The sequence below is a fragment of the Homo sapiens genome, chromosome 7 (genome assembly GCF_000001405.40).
Source record: "Homo sapiens chromosome 7, GRCh38.p14 Primary Assembly".
Lineage (NCBI taxonomy): Eukaryota > Metazoa > Chordata > Mammalia > Primates > Hominidae > Homo > Homo sapiens.
The window spans coordinates 30,421,766-30,436,654 of record NC_000007.14 but is presented as its reverse complement, the minus strand read 5'-3'; the positions used below and the strand labels follow the sequence as shown (position 1 = coordinate 30,436,654).

The 14,889-nt window shown below is 46.3% G+C and overlaps 1 protein-coding gene across 30 annotated transcripts in view, besides 1 other annotated feature; it reads left to right on the top strand.

Moving 5' to 3' along the window:
• NOD1 (nucleotide binding oligomerization domain containing 1) overlaps nt 1-12,128 on the top strand; it is a 54,258-nt gene extending 42,130 nt beyond the window's left edge. For 22 of the 30 annotated variants that reach the window (XM_047419760.1, XM_005249572.1, XM_047419763.1 and 19 more), the window contains 4 exons: nt 574-657; nt 3,476-3,559; nt 7,198-7,281; nt 10,945-12,128. In XM_047419760.1, the coding sequence (XP_047275716.1) occupies nt 574-657; nt 3,476-3,559; nt 7,198-7,281; nt 10,945-11,017 (325 nt within the window). In that variant the 3' untranslated portion in view covers nt 11,018-12,128. Of the gene's footprint in view, nt 1-573; nt 658-3,475; nt 3,560-7,197; nt 7,282-8,045; nt 8,152-10,944 lie in introns of all 30 variants that reach the window. The other 8 variants (XM_047419765.1, XM_047419768.1, XM_011515085.2 and 5 more) reach the window with 2 other exon arrangements.
• Nucleotides 2,233-2,372: an enhancer, noted in NCBI's record as "active region_25812". NCBI's record gives its function as "activates an Ori minimal core promoter by ATAC-STARR-seq in GM12878 lymphoblastoid cells {active_cell/tissue: GM12878}" and the evidence as "EXISTENCE:reporter gene assay evidence [ECO:0000049][PMID:35858748]".

Genomic DNA, 14,889 nt, shown 5'->3' with positions numbered 1-14,889 from the left:
GCTGGCCAGCAGATTCCTGCCCCTTCCTTGTCCTCAGGATGATGCTGGAAAAGAGGGACTCTTCCTCTCTATAAATGGGGATGCACCTACCCAGCCCCCGCTTAGGCTGCTGGCCAAATCTTGGGACCTTGGTATGTCCACGGCTCTGCTGCTGTTCTTCCTACCACTGAAAAAGAGTCCAAGAAGGTGGGGACAGTAGCAGAAGAGACTTTGCCAGGTCTTGCAGATGGGGTACCTTGATGGGGCCAGCCTTTAGAAGGACAGCTTGCCAGGCCTCGCCAGCCTCCTGCCCATGTGCAGAAACCTGAGGTGCCGACCCCAGCCCACTGTTGTGTGAGCAGGCTGTGCTGATGACCCATTTCCCGTCCAGCCTGCCCTTGTGCTCTGTGTGTGGGCTCTGGGGCAGCAGCGCCTGGGCACTACTGCTGCAGCTGAACACTTCTGCATCCTGCCCCGAGTGAGCCTGGGCTGGGGCCACAGCCAGGCAGAGGCTTCCCAGCTGTTCTGATGTTGAAGCTAAGATTGAATGTAGATGTGTCTTTAATAATTCACCCCAAGTGTGTTCCTTCCTAGTCTTGCGTCCAACGGCATCTCCACAGAAGGAGGAAAGAGCCTTGCGAGGGCCCTGCAGCAGAACACGTCTCTAGAAATACTGTGGTAATAGCTCGAGTCATTTCATTTGTTTGTTTGTTTTTCTGTGATAGGGTCTTGCTTTGTCGTCCAGGCTTGAGTGCATTGGTGTGATCTCAGCTCACTGCAGCCTCCACCTCCCAGGCTCATTCGAACCTCCCGCCTTGGCCTTCCGAGTCCTGAGACTATAGGCATGCACCACCACACCCAGTTAATTTTAAAATTTTTTGTAGAGATGGGGTTTTGCTATGTTACCCAGGCTGGTCTTGAACTCCTGGGCTCAAGCAGTTCTCCTGCCCTGGCTTCTCAAAGCCCTGGGATTGCAGGTGTGAGCCACTGCACCTGGCACAGAGTCATTTTGGAGGGTTTAGGTCCCAGGAATTATCCCAGGGGCTGCACATGGCCTGGAATCTTAACAGAAAAGGTGTCTCCCAATTGGAAAGGCTCTAGGCCTTTCAGTTAAGTTGATAATTTCCTCCTAGAGAAGAGAATAGCCACTTCTACAAGCATAAACAGGTACAGGAGGAGGAAGTGGGCTCCGGGAGCCTGGATCTGAGGCCTTGGCCTTCTAGGCCCCAGGAGAACTAGAACGCTGGCCATGCAAGCTATCCAGGTATCCTTGGATACCTTCAGATGTGCTTAGCAGAGGCCAACTTCCACACACTTGGCTCAAAATTTTCTCCCTTCCTCCTCTTCATCTGCCTTCCCCCAGGCAGCCTCCTCCTTCCCCAGGTCTTCACATCAGGGTTTGGCCTTTATGCTCCATCCAGCTCATCTGTCACTTGTCACCTGAAGCCCACAGTCCTCGCTCCCTCTCTGCACTCTAGGGCACTTACTAAGTGGATGTGGCCTCCTGAGAGTGTTTTTTGTTGGTGTTCCCTTTTTTATGGCCACTTAATGTTTTATTTTGCTTTATTTGTATTTACATCTCTGTATCATAAATTCCATACAGGTGGCTGGGAGCAGTGACTCACATCTGTAATCCCAGTACTTTGGAAGGCTGAGGTGGGAGGATCGCTTGAGGCCAAGAGTTCGAGACTAGCCTGGGCAATATAGCGAGACCCTCTATCTACAAAAAAAAAAAACATTCCTTACAGGTTAAGTGAGGGAGTTGTATTACAACCCTCCCTATCATCTACTCAGAGCCCAGTGCTCATTTGATCTTGCTAAATTAGTTACTGAGAATAATGACAATATCCTCTTCATGAGAGAGTTTTGACATTAGGCCTGCTGTCCAGTAAGTGCATTTTAAATTCTTTCCCCTCAACAAATCATTTAACATTTTGAAAAGTAGTTTATGTTTTTTGGAAAAAATGTAAGACACTAAAGGAGGACATGAAAGTACCTCCTAAAGTTCCTGCTAAAAGGAGGAAGTGAAAGTACCTCCCTTTGTGTTTTCCAAAATAACCTTTCCTTTCTAGCCTTTTGTTCTATGTATGTTCAAAGATATGCAAAACAGAATAGCATTCAAGCAGTGGCTCTAAAAATATTGTAATCACATACTTTACATGTCTCCTTTAGGGTTTCTCCATCTTGATGCTGTTGACATTTTGGTCCAAGTGATTCTTTATTATGGTAGGGCTGTCCTGTGCATCATAGACGGTTTAGCCGCATCTCTGCCCTGTACCTCCCAGTGGTGAGGATCAAAAATGCCTCCGGACATGGCCAGGTGCCCCATGGAGAGTGAAATCACATGGATAGTAGTAATGTCAACACCTAGAAGCCCTCAAGTGCTGACTGCATGCCATGTGTTATTCTACACTTTTTCCCTGTGTTAACTCACTCAGCCTCACAACCACTCTATACGATCTCTACTGTTAACGTTCACCAGTGAGAAAACTCAGACCCAAAGAACTTAAGCCTGTTGCCCGAGGTCACCCTGCTGGTGGGTGATACAAACCTGCCCAGGCTGAGTCCGGAGTAGATGTCAATGCTGTGTTCTTCTCCCTCCTCATTCTACCTCATTCTCCCTACAAGCTGCACAACATCTCGAATAGATATCACAATATATTTCATCAGTTGTTTCTGATCTAAATTTGTTCAGATTTTACATTAGGATAATACCACAATGCATGCTGCAATGTATAAAGCTTTGTGTGTATATCCTTGCACACTGTAGGGTAAATTTCTAGAAGTCTGATTGTCTTAAAATGAAGCACATTAAAAATTTGGGCAGGCACATCCAAACTGCCCTTCAAGGAATTTTTTTTTTTAAATGTTCTTTCTGTTCTATTCTTCTTCCTAATGATTCTTTCGTCCACTGGCACAAGTGGGTCCTACCCTGTTTACACCAAGGAGCTTTGGTGCTTTATCCAGACCACTTCTGGTTCTAAGGACCATTGAGAGACTTCCTGAACTTTCAGTCACTTAACTTGGGTCCCTCACAAGTTAACTGAGAGCAAAGTACTGAACACATTTTAATGTGCAGTCAGTGACTGTTTCAGGTCTTCAAACTAACTTGGATAACACACTGTCAGTGGTGTTCAAGGGACCCTGGGACTAGAGGAGAACTGAGAAGCAGGCATTGGCCCTTTGTTTTCCGTGGGCCCCCATCTTCCATGAAATCTGAGGGCTCAGCAAAGGTGGGGAGGGAGGGTGGGCTCCTCTACAGGTAGCTGGGCTAAGAAATAGGAGCCCAGGTACAGGATTTGCATTAAAAATGAGTCCCATTGACCTTCTGTGGGGCTGACAGGCTGGGCTTGGAGCCTGGCTGTTTTCTGGGTTCTCAGCAAGTGATCATCTGCATAGCTGGAGAGCCTTGGGCTGAGCTCCCGCTCCTGTGAACTCTAAAACAATGTCTGCCAAGTAGGCTCTCTTGAGTAAATACTTCCTTTTTTTTCCTTAGGCTGACCCAAAATGAACTCAACGATGAAGTGGCAGAGAGTTTGGCAGAAATGTTGAAAGTCAACCAGACGTTAAAGCATTTATGGTAACTCAGAGAGCCTTACAATTTCAGACTGTGCTACTTTTCAAAAGTATTTTTTGAGATAAAATTTACATACTGTAAAATTCACTCTCTTAAAGTATACAATTCAGAGGTTTTTAGTGCAACCATCACCACCTAATTCTAGAACATTTTCACTCCTCCTCCCCACTCCAAAAAGCCCTGGTATCCATTAAGCAGTCACTCCCTGTCCTCCTCCCCAGACCCTGGCAACCACTAATCCGCTTTCTGTCTCTATGGATTTGCCTACTCTGGGCATTTCATATAAATGGAATCAAGCAATATGTGACCTTTTGTCTCTGTGTTCTAGCATGTTTCATTCCTTTTTATGGCTAAATGATAATTCACTCTAAGGAAATTTTGCAGTTTATTAATCAGTTGATGGGACATTTGGGTTGTTTCTACTTTTTGACTATTATGCGTAATGCTACTGTGAACACTCCTGTTCATGCTTTTGGGTGAACATATGTTTTCATCTCTTTTGGGAATATACCTGGGAATAGAATTTCTGGGTCATATGGCAATTCTGTAACTTTTTGAGGAGCCACCAAACTGTTTTCTAAAGTGGATGTACTATTTTACATTCTCGCCAGCAATGTATGTGGATTCCAATTTCTCCACATCCTCACCAACACTTATTATTGTCCATCTTTTAAAATCTAGTTATACTAGTGGATGTGAAGTAATATTGTGGTTTTGATTTGCATTTCCCTGATGACAACAATGTTGAATGTCTTTTTATGTGCCTACTGGGAGTCTGTATAGCTTCTTTGGAGAAATGTCTCCATATCCTTTGCCCATTTTAAAATTGGGTTTGTCTTCTAATGCTGAGTTATAGGGGTTCTCTATATATTCTGGGTGCTAGACCTTTACTAGATACAGGTTTTGCAAGTATTTTCTTTCTTTCTGTGGAGTTTTTCCTCTTTCTTGATAGTGACCTTTAAAGGACAACAGTTTTTAATTTTTGTTTTTTTTGAGATGGAGTCTTGCTCTTGTCACCCAGACAGGAGTGCAGTGGCATGATCTCAGCTCTCTGCAACCTCCACCTCCTGGGTTCAAGCGATTCTTCTGCCTCAGCCTCCTGAGTAGTTGGGATTACAGGCATCAGCCACCATGCCTGTCTCATTTTGTATTTTTAATAGAGATGGGGTTTCACCATTTAGGCCCAGGCTGGTCTTGAACTCCTGACCTCAGGTGATCCACCTGCCTCAGCCTCCCAAAGTGCTGGGATTACAGGCGAAAAGCCACTGCACCTGGCCAATAGTTTTTAATTTTGATGAAGTCCAATTTATCTATTTTTTTCTTTGGTTGCTTGTGCTTTCAGTGTCTTATCTAAGAAATGATTGCCTAATCCAAGATCACAAAGAACTCCACCTAAGTTTTCTGTTAAGCGTTATAGTTGTTTCCCCTCACATATAGGTCTGCAATCCATTTTGAGTTAATTTTTGTATAGTGTAAAGTGAGGGTTAACCTCATTCTCTTGCACGTGGATATCCAGCTGTCCCGGCAGCACCACGTGTTGAACAGATTATCTTTTCCTATTGAATGGCCTTGACACCCTTGTCAAAAATCAATTGACCATAAATGTATGGGTTTATTTCTGAATTCTCTGTTCTGGTCCATTGATTTATATGTCTCTCCTATGCCAGGACCATTGCTGTAGCTTTGTGTAGTACATTTTGAAATCAGGAGGTGTGAGTTCTACTTTGTTCTTCTTTCTCAAGATTGTTTAGACCATTCTGGGTTCTTTGCATTTCTTATGAATTCAGACTCACCTTGTCAATTTCTGCAAAAAGACTAGACTCTGCTACATATTGTTTTTTCTTTCCTTTTTAGCCTGCAGAATTATTTGATCCCATTCCCTAAGTGCAGGCCAGCCTCTCCAGGGAGAGCAGAGCTAGGACAGGGTCAGAAAGAGAGTCTTGGCTGCTTTGTGCATTCCCAACCTGCACTGGCCCTAGTGAAGGCAGCCCGAGTGGGTGGATGTGCCTGGACACTGCAGGCTTTTTAGGGGCATTAGGTGCTCTCCTTCCTGGCCTCCTGCCACATCTTGGTTGGAGGCTGCCTTCCCTGCCTTCAAAAAAGCCTAAGTGGTGACTAGAAAACAGCAGAGTGTAACTGAATACAGAACTTGGTGCCCACTTCCTGGTTCTATTTTTGTCCCTTTTGAAAGGGAAGGTCATTACCTCTGCCATTGAACCCAGGGGCCCTAGCCCTTGTGGGGTATGGCTGGGAGCACCAGATCCTGGCTGCAGCCCAGCCACCAGTGGTCCTGTGTGCTTGGGCAGTAACAGTGACAAGAGCTCCCTTCCCCCTGGACACTGTGCCTAATACCCTCCTCTTGAAATCTCACACACCCAGTGGATGGGGGGCACTCTTATAGTTATTCTCAGTTTACAGATGACACAACTGAGGCACAGACAGATGCGTTTATTTCTTCAAGGTTCTGTAGCTGAACAGTGGGGAGGGAGGGTTTAAGAGGAGCTGCACCCGCTCTGCAATACTGCCTCTCACGAGGGAGTCCTCTTCATTCATGACAGCATAGGGCCCTCGTCTTCCTGGTAAGGGCTTCCTTCTTGGGTCAGTGCCAGGATTTCTAAGGGTCATGTTTAGCAGGAGCCTATTCTACAAACAGCCAGGAGCAGGGAATGACTCTGTGATGAAGCGGAGACACTACAGCCTCTTGATGCATTTATTTCCTGGTTGGGTTAGAAGCGTAGCTGCCCAAGGGAGCATTTCAGGAGAGGCCTGGCTTCCTAGCGATAGCTGAAAACTTTGTTTCATTTGAATCACTGCTACCCAGAACAATGGGGTGCATTCTCAGAGTCCCCATTATTAAAGCTTTTCCACTGAGCCCCATGAGAACTATTCATGAGAACTATTTCATGGCAGCATAACTGTTTCTCCTCCCTCCCTCTTGCATGTTGGTAGCCTCTTAACTTTAAAACCTGCCTTGCCTTTCCCTAGCTACCTGGAAGGAGACGTCAGACTTCCTGTCCCATGGTGTGTTTCTTACAATTTGTTGTTCAGATTGGTGGTCTCCCAAATATATATAAAAATATAAATGGAGTCTCACTCTGTCACCCAGGCTGGAGTGCAGTGGCACGATCTTGGCTCACTGCAACCTCCACCTCCCAGTTCAAGCAATTCTCCTACCTCAGTCTCCCGAGTAGCTGGGAGTACAGGTGCACACCACCATGCCCAGCTAATTTTTTTGTATTTTTAATAGAGACAGGTTGGCCAGGATGGTATCGATCTCCTGAGCTCGTGATCCACCCACCTCGGCCTCCCAAAGTGCTGGGATTACAGGTGTGAGCCACTGCACCCGGCCCCAAATATTTTGATTATGCACCTCTGCAGTGAAAAATGCAAACACACACATCAGTTCATGTATTACATTATGTTCACTATAAAAACAAACAGAAAATTTAAAAAATATCAAGCTATCCTTTACTCTAGTGGATCTTACCTGGACACTTTTAGCCAGATACAAAGTCACATGGACTCAGTTCTTCCCCTGACCAACTTGTCTCTTATCCCAAAACACCCTTGCAACTCCCTTACGAAGGGGTCAAATTTGATCCAGTATTATGGATTTTATACAAGTTATGTTCTTCTTTCAGGCTTATCCAGAATCAGATCACAGCTAAGGGGACTGCCCAGCTGGCAGATGCGTTACAGAGCAACACTGGCATAACAGAGATTTGGTAAGATCCCAGCGTTTGTCACAGTAATAACACCAGTGACTGTTTACTCACCACCACTGACTGTGCAAGGCACAACGCAGGGTGGTTTCTGTTTATTCCTCCAGCAACCCTGCACAGTAATGGTATTACCTCTGTTTTACAGAGGTAGACAGAGGCCCAGACCAGTGAAATAAGGTTGCCCAAGGTCACTACGAGAGAAGCTAGAATTCAGCCCAGAATGCCTGATTCCATATTCTGTGCTCTCCTGCCCTGGGCCCCCGCCCTCATCTACCTTCATTGGGTGGGATGGGGGAAGTGGCCAGTGAAATGATTTCCTAGTGGAAGTAAATCCCCCTGGGACTCAGCAATTGAGAGATGACTGTGTTGGCCAGGAGTTTGGAGCTCATTCTTCCCCTTTTCTGGGTTCCGTAAGACATTTCCAGGCTGACTTGAACTGACCTGTGCTCTTTGTCTACTTCTTTTTTCTGCTTTGAGAACTTCCTTATGCTAATAGAAGAAAAAAAGTTTGCTTTACTGTGACATTGAGCGCCATGCCACTTCTTTCTTGCCTCCCATAAGGCACAGACACTCCCCACTCAGCAGCTCCCTTAACAACTTAATTGCCTGGGTGACGTGGGACTGGGTGGATGCTGGGAGAGGGGCCTTATTAACTATGTCCTCCTTTCATGACTGGGGAGAATTTCATAGCCAATTAAAAAAAAACAAAAAACAGCTCCTTGGCCAACACAGGCTCCTCATACAGTGTTTTTTAAACTTTGCTTTAGAACTTGTTTGGAACTTGTCATAAAATCGATCAGTTTGGTGAATTGCAACCAACAATATTTAAAAAGAAAACAGAACAGAACAAAATATCAGGATGCAATGTGCATGGTATGAAAGTATCATTTCATTCATCTTAGTTCATGCTTGCATGTGAGTGGGTGTGTGTTTGCATAAGTGTTGGTTCACAACATAAAATGTAATTCTTATTTAGGGTTGTAGACAAAAGGTTTTTTTTTAAAAAAAACACTGTTGGCTAGGCATGGTGGCTCATGCCTGTAATACCAGCACTTTGGGAGGCCAAGATGGGCAGATCTCTTGAGCACAGGAGTTTGAGACCAGCCTGGGCAACATGCGAAACCCCGTCACTACAAAAATTAGCCCGACATGGTGCTATGTGCCTGTAGTCCCAGCTACTCAGGAAGCTGATGTGGGAGGATGGATGCATGGGAGATCAAGGCTGCAGTGAGCCAGGATCATGCCACTGCAATCCAGCCTGGGTGCCAGAGACCCTGTCTCAAAAAACAAAAAAGAAAAAAAGAAAAACACCATCATAGAGAATAGAGCCCAGATCTAAACAGACACCTGTGGCCTGTGTGCCTGCGAAGCCCAGCCTGCCCAGCAGCCTGGGAAGCACTGGAGGGCACTGGAACTGTTTGCATGGGTGTTTGCCCTCAGGCCACTCCGTTTCTGCTGATTCTTAAGTTTTGAGGACAGCAGGCAGAGGGGGAGAGGAAGGAGACTGCCAGACTACAGAACAGTTTGCAGAGCACAGTTGGCTTCCACTTTTCTCTGTAGCTGGTCAGGCGGGTAGTAAAGACCTACAGTTGCTTTAATTCTGTCAAGTTTCAAAATCTGCATTGCTTCCCTCTTGAGGGTCACCATTCCTACACAAGGAACCATTTTAGTAGGGCCAGGAGACTTCAGCTTCAAGGCCTGCACTTGTGTCAGGGTGGAGAGGGGAACTGGCCACCAATTCAGAGAGGGCAGGACAGGCGGCATGGGTGCTGGTCTTGGGAGTGTCTTCACTTAGGTCCCTGGCTTGTTCTGGGAGCCTCCAGAGCATGCTCCTCTGTGTGTGACTTCATGGGACTGGGCTCTGAGAAGGCTGTGGCTTTGTTGGCCCTGCCAGGGACTGCCACACCAGGCCACAGGGTTGTGGTTGAGCTGGCCGGGGAGCCACGTTCAGGGAGCAGCTCTGCTTGGAGCCAACACTTACAGAGTAAGCCTTCTCCTTGGACTTGTTAACTGTACTGACACTTATTTCTACCTCATTCCTTTCTGAAAATAACTTGGAAGTCTGAAGTCCCTTGATGAGTTCTGTCTTTAAGAACAGAAATTAGAGGTGAACAATGAACACTGTAAATTACAGAAATGTATCCCACTCCAGTATAACAGCTTTCTGTGAGGCTATCTCCTCCAGACTGTGGCTCTGGGAGGGTGGGGCCTGAGTCAAGGTCCTAGGGACTAGTGCTGTGTCTTCATTTATTCCTTGAATAACGAAACGCTTGAGCATCAGGGACTGTGCTAGCACCAAAAATCCAGTGGTGAACAACATGGCTTCATGGGTTCACTGTCTAGAAAGGGAGAAGCACATTAAAGAAAAAATCATTTGCGTAATTATTTAATTACAACTGTGATGGGTACTATCACAAAGGGGAAGGCCAAGAGGGAACCTGATTTAGATGAGGTTGCAGGGAAGGCCTCTCTGAGGAAGCAGCACTTACACTAAGCCATGAAGGATGAATAGGAGCTAGTCAGCTGAGGTGAGTATTCTGCGTAGGGAACAGCATGTGCAAAGGGTCTGGGGCAGGAGGGAGTGTGGTGTCCTGGAAGAACTGCCAGAAGCTGCTGTGCCCCAGGGTTCAGACAGTGTGGAAGAGGGGACTACAGGAGGCTGAGGAGATAGGCAGGGACTGGACCATAAAAGATCTGTGGGTCATGATGTGCATTTTGGTCTTTATCCTAAAAGTGATGGAAAGTCAGTGAACAGTTTGAAGCAGGAGAGGCATGTGATCAGATCTGCAATGCAAAAAGACCAATTCTTGGCTCTTCTAGGAAACTGAATTGGAGAAGGCCAGAGTACGTGGAAATGACCTGTCAGTAGGACATTGTACTGATGCAGGGAAGAGATGATGGGTGCTCAGACCAAGATGGCCGGCCAAAGACATAGAGGTTCCAGGGAGGCATTCTAGATTCTTAGGAATTAGGGGAGAACTTTGTGATACAAGGAACATGGGGATGAGAAGGAAGGTGTCCAGGTTGACCCCCAGGTTACTAACCTGCTCAGCAGGATGAGAGTGGTCCATTCACTAAGCCAGGGGACCCTAGGAGGTGTGGCTACTTTGAGGTGTGGGGGAGAGGTCCAAGTGAGGATGCCAAGCAGGTAACTGCCTCCACGGACATACAAACAAGGCCGTGGCATTGATGAGATCGGGTGGGGAAAAGGGCTTAGCCCCAAACCTGGAGGAAATCTCAGATGTAGAGGTCACATGGAGGAGAATATAGGAAAGGAAATTGAAGTAGAGTGCTCAGATGCAGGAGAAAAATCAGCGCATATAACCAAGCCAAGGGGAGGGAGTGCCTCAAGAAGGAGGGAGAGGAGAGGTCAGGACAGCCAAAATCCTGAGGGCCAAGAAAGACAAGACCTGGAAAATGTCATTAAATTCAGGCTTATGGAGGCTACAGGTGACCTTAGTGAGACCCAGTGAACAGAGGGATGGCAGCTGGAGAGGATCCATGCTAATATGAAGGAACTATCTGCAAAGGGTATGTTCCTTAATTTCAGGGATACATGTGTATTGTGTGATACACGAGTGTGTGCTATGAACACACCTTGGGAAGGAGTGTGCGAGGATCCTTAACATTTTACCTGTGTACTTTTGTCTTCCTCCTTTTCAACAGCCTAAATGGAAACCTGATAAAACCAGAGGAGGCCAAAGTCTATGAAGATGAGAAGCGGATTATCTGTTTCTGAGAGGATGCTTTCCTGTTCATGGGGTTTTTGCCCTGGAGCCTCAGCAGCAAATGCCACTCTGGGCAGTCTTTTGTGTCAGTGTCTTAAAGGGGCCTGCGCAGGCGGGACTATCAGGAGTCCACTGCCTCCATGATGCAAGCCAGCTTCCTGTGCAGAAGGTCTGGTCGGCAAACTCCCTAAGTACCCGCTACAATTCTGCAGAAAAAGAATGTGTCTTGCGAGCTGTTGTAGTTACAGTAAATACACTGTGAAGAGACTTTATTGCCTATTATAATTATTTTTATCTGAAGCTAGAGGAATAAAGCTGTGAGCAAACAGAGGAGGCCAGCCTCACCTCATTCCAACACCTGCCATAGGGACCAACGGGAGCGAGTTGGTCACCGCTCTTTTCATTGAAGAGTTGAGGATGTGGCACAAAGTTGGTGCCAAGCTTCTTGAATAAAACGTGTTTGATGGATTAGTATTATACCTGAAATATTTTCTTCCTTCTCAGCACTTTCCCATGTATTGATACTGGTCCCACTTCACAGCTGGAGACACCGGAGTATGTGCAGTGTGGGATTTGACTCCTCCAAGGTTTTGTGGAAAGTTAATGTCAAGGAAAGGATGCACCACGGGCTTTTAATTTTAATCCTGGAGTCTCACTGTCTGCTGGCAAAGATAGAGAATGCCCTCAGCTCTTAGCTGGTCTAAGAATGACGATGCCTTCAAAATGCTGCTTCCACTCAGGGCTTCTCCTCTGCTAGGCTACCCTCCTCTAGAAGGCTGAGTACCATGGGCTACAGTGTCTGGCCTTGGGAAGAAGTGATTCTGTCCCTCCAAAGAAATAGGGCATGGCTTGCCCCTGTGGCCCTGGCATCCAAATGGCTGCTTTTGTCTCCCTTACCTCGTGAAGAGGGGAAGTCTCTTCCTGCCTCCCAAGCAGCTGAAGGGTGACTAAACGGGCGCCAAGACTCAGGGGATCGGCTGGGAACTGGGCCAGCAGAGCATGTTGGACACCCCCCACCATGGTGGGCTTGTGGTGGCTGCTCCATGAGGGTGGGGGTGATACTACTAGATCACTTGTCCTCTTGCCAGCTCATTTGTTAATAAAATACTGAAAACACTCTTACGGGTTGAGTCTGGAGTTTTTGAAGGGACTTGGCTTGGTAAGCACTCATTGACTCCTGAGCCCCATCCTGATTCACTCCACAGTGGGGAAGGGGCTCTGGGGTGATGTGCTATGAGGAGAGCCTGATGAAGGCCAGGGGTGTCACCAGTTTGATCCTTCACAGGCCTCTCTGCCTACCAAGGGACAGGAAGCGGCTGTGGCAGCCTCTGAGGTCTCTCCATCTGGCCTCTGAATCTCTTCAGGTGGCTTCTCAGAGGAAATAACTTGTGAGTAGGGGGTGGCTGGTGCCAGGACAGGCCAAGTGGGCCAAAGTTCATGCCTTCATCACCATGCCATGGTAGAGCCCACGGGCCAGGTTCGACGTCCACTACCTTCCTCGGCTGTTCACTGCTGAGTGGCGGATCCAGGTAGGCCCATGGCAAGAAGCACCGAGCTGCCAGGGGCAGCACGTGACAGAGGAAGGCATGCAGGGCCTCCAACGGTCCACCTCTGAGTTCTTATGAGTCCAAGCCTGGCTTTGTAGAGCAGCCTGTTAGGAAGGGGACCGTTGCGGGGGAAATCCTGTACAGTTAAGCAACTACAAGGCGGCAGTTCCTTAAAGGCTCGATTTTGGTGGTTCCTACGAGGTCCCTCCCAACCCCAGACCTGAGTATTCACCTAATAATCACCCCAAGGCAGCCACTCTCTCCTTACTGCAGAATCTGGGCAGCAAATATGCCCAGAAAGAAGAAAGAAGGGAATGAGCATGGCCCACTGAAGGCCAAAGGGGGAGTACCACAGACCTCAGACTCGCCAAGTCTTACCACAAAGTTCACTTCTCAGCAGACAAAATTCACATTTTATTAAACTGCTAAAACTAAACCCTTGAGAGTCTAAAATTTACTCAGAAACTACCAAATGTTATTGCTTTTAGAGACTATCAAAATTAAAACTGCTGCTTCTAGGGAATTAGAATTTGTGTGGTATTGACTTAAATTCTATTTGGAAATACTTTGATCTTCCAGATGGCAAGTGGTAGATTTTCTATTCCTCCTGTAAAACTGAGACCAGGCTCCTAATTTGATGGAAAGGTTCTCTTATTAGAAACAGGTGAGCTTCTGAGCAGAAACATGGAGACTTTTCCTAATCAAGAAAAAGACAATTGAAAAAAAAAATTCTGTAAACGAGGGCTATATCTCTTTCTTTCCACAGGACATCTTGATTGATTTTGGGAAAGAAGCTACAGCTCCCATATTTCACACCTGCACTTGTGTCATGTCCATGCTGACATGGAACTTCTTTAAAAAGCCATGTGGAGCCACTGTGTGGCCATGTGGTATTAGCTCTCTGGAGCGCCCTAGCTGTGTGGCTTTGGAGCACTCTTAAGACGGCCAGAATCTTGATTTCCTCCTTGGAAAAACTGAGAGAATCTGACTCAAAAGGTTGTTGAGAGGATTAAATGAGTCATGGAAAGTAGCTGGCACAAAGCCTGGCACAGAGTCCTGCTCAACGTATGGCAGTTAGTTACTATCAAGCCAGCGGGTCTCATTTCCGCTCACCGTGGGACTCCCAAGTTGTCCCCTTCTCACTCATAGGCTCAGGGAACTTTCCAACAAGGTCCAATACAGGACTAGGAGTTCTCAAAGTAAAACCCCAAAGTATTCAACATCAAGCTTCCTGCAATATCCTACCTTTGTCAGTGAAAAGCATAGCTGTTAGTTTTCATTATTATTACCAAAGACCATACTGCCATTTAAGTGTCAAGTCACTGAACATAGGGGGCACCTGTGTCTTCACAGCACAAAAGAACAGGGCAGGAGCTGGCACCACCCTATGGAGCCAGGCCCATGAGCCTTTGCCAAGCGGGAAAGCGCTTTCTGCTCATCCATATTTTGGTTCACTTCCAGGTGGACCACAGGTCTGTTTCCAGTAACCAACTGCTTACTTACAAGAAAAAAACCTTGCTCTAGAGCTGAAAGGCAAAACCATGACCATTAACCCAGGATCATGAAGAAGAATTTTAATGAAAGTAGAATGGCATTATGAGGAGGCTGAGACTCATTTTACCAGAGGACATCCCAACACTACTCTCTCAACCTTAAAATGGAATGAACTGCACCCAAGACCAGCTTAAGACTCTTAGAGACATTAAGTACTGAAAAGGTTATAGGCCCCTCTGGATCTATAATGAAAATATTTAAATACTAAATTATAAAGTAAGTGCAAAGATGTTAAACAAGTTTCTAATCTTTCCCATGACTACTTGGGTGTTTTTTCAGACCAATAACAAATATTAAAGTGTCTCAATTTTTTCCTGGACTTTTTTCTGTTATAAAGTGCATTTATTTTTGTTGTCAAAGTAATGTTGTTACCCAGTGTAACGTCTGTGTGACCTAAGTAAATTTCTTCCCCACCTTAACTCTGGTTATCTTTAGGAAACGGGATGTCTGTGGTCAAAAGCTCCCCATCATGACACCAAACCAGCTAAGAGTGGTGGGAACCAAGATGGCAGCTCACTTGACCTCTGAAGAACCTCTAACTTCATTATAATCTAATTTCCATGCTAAATGACCCTCCCCCCAGTGCCAAGACAGCTGACAATCACCATGACAACGACCAGAAGAAACCATAAAAGGACAAAAAAGGGGGACAAAAACTCTGGTTCTGAGAAGTTATCTACCTAATTCCCAGAAAAGACATGAATACTTTTCCCCTTGCTTTTAATTCCCCAACCCCTTCATTAAAGATGCTCCATATCTGTGACTTCCTGGCTCTCATGGGG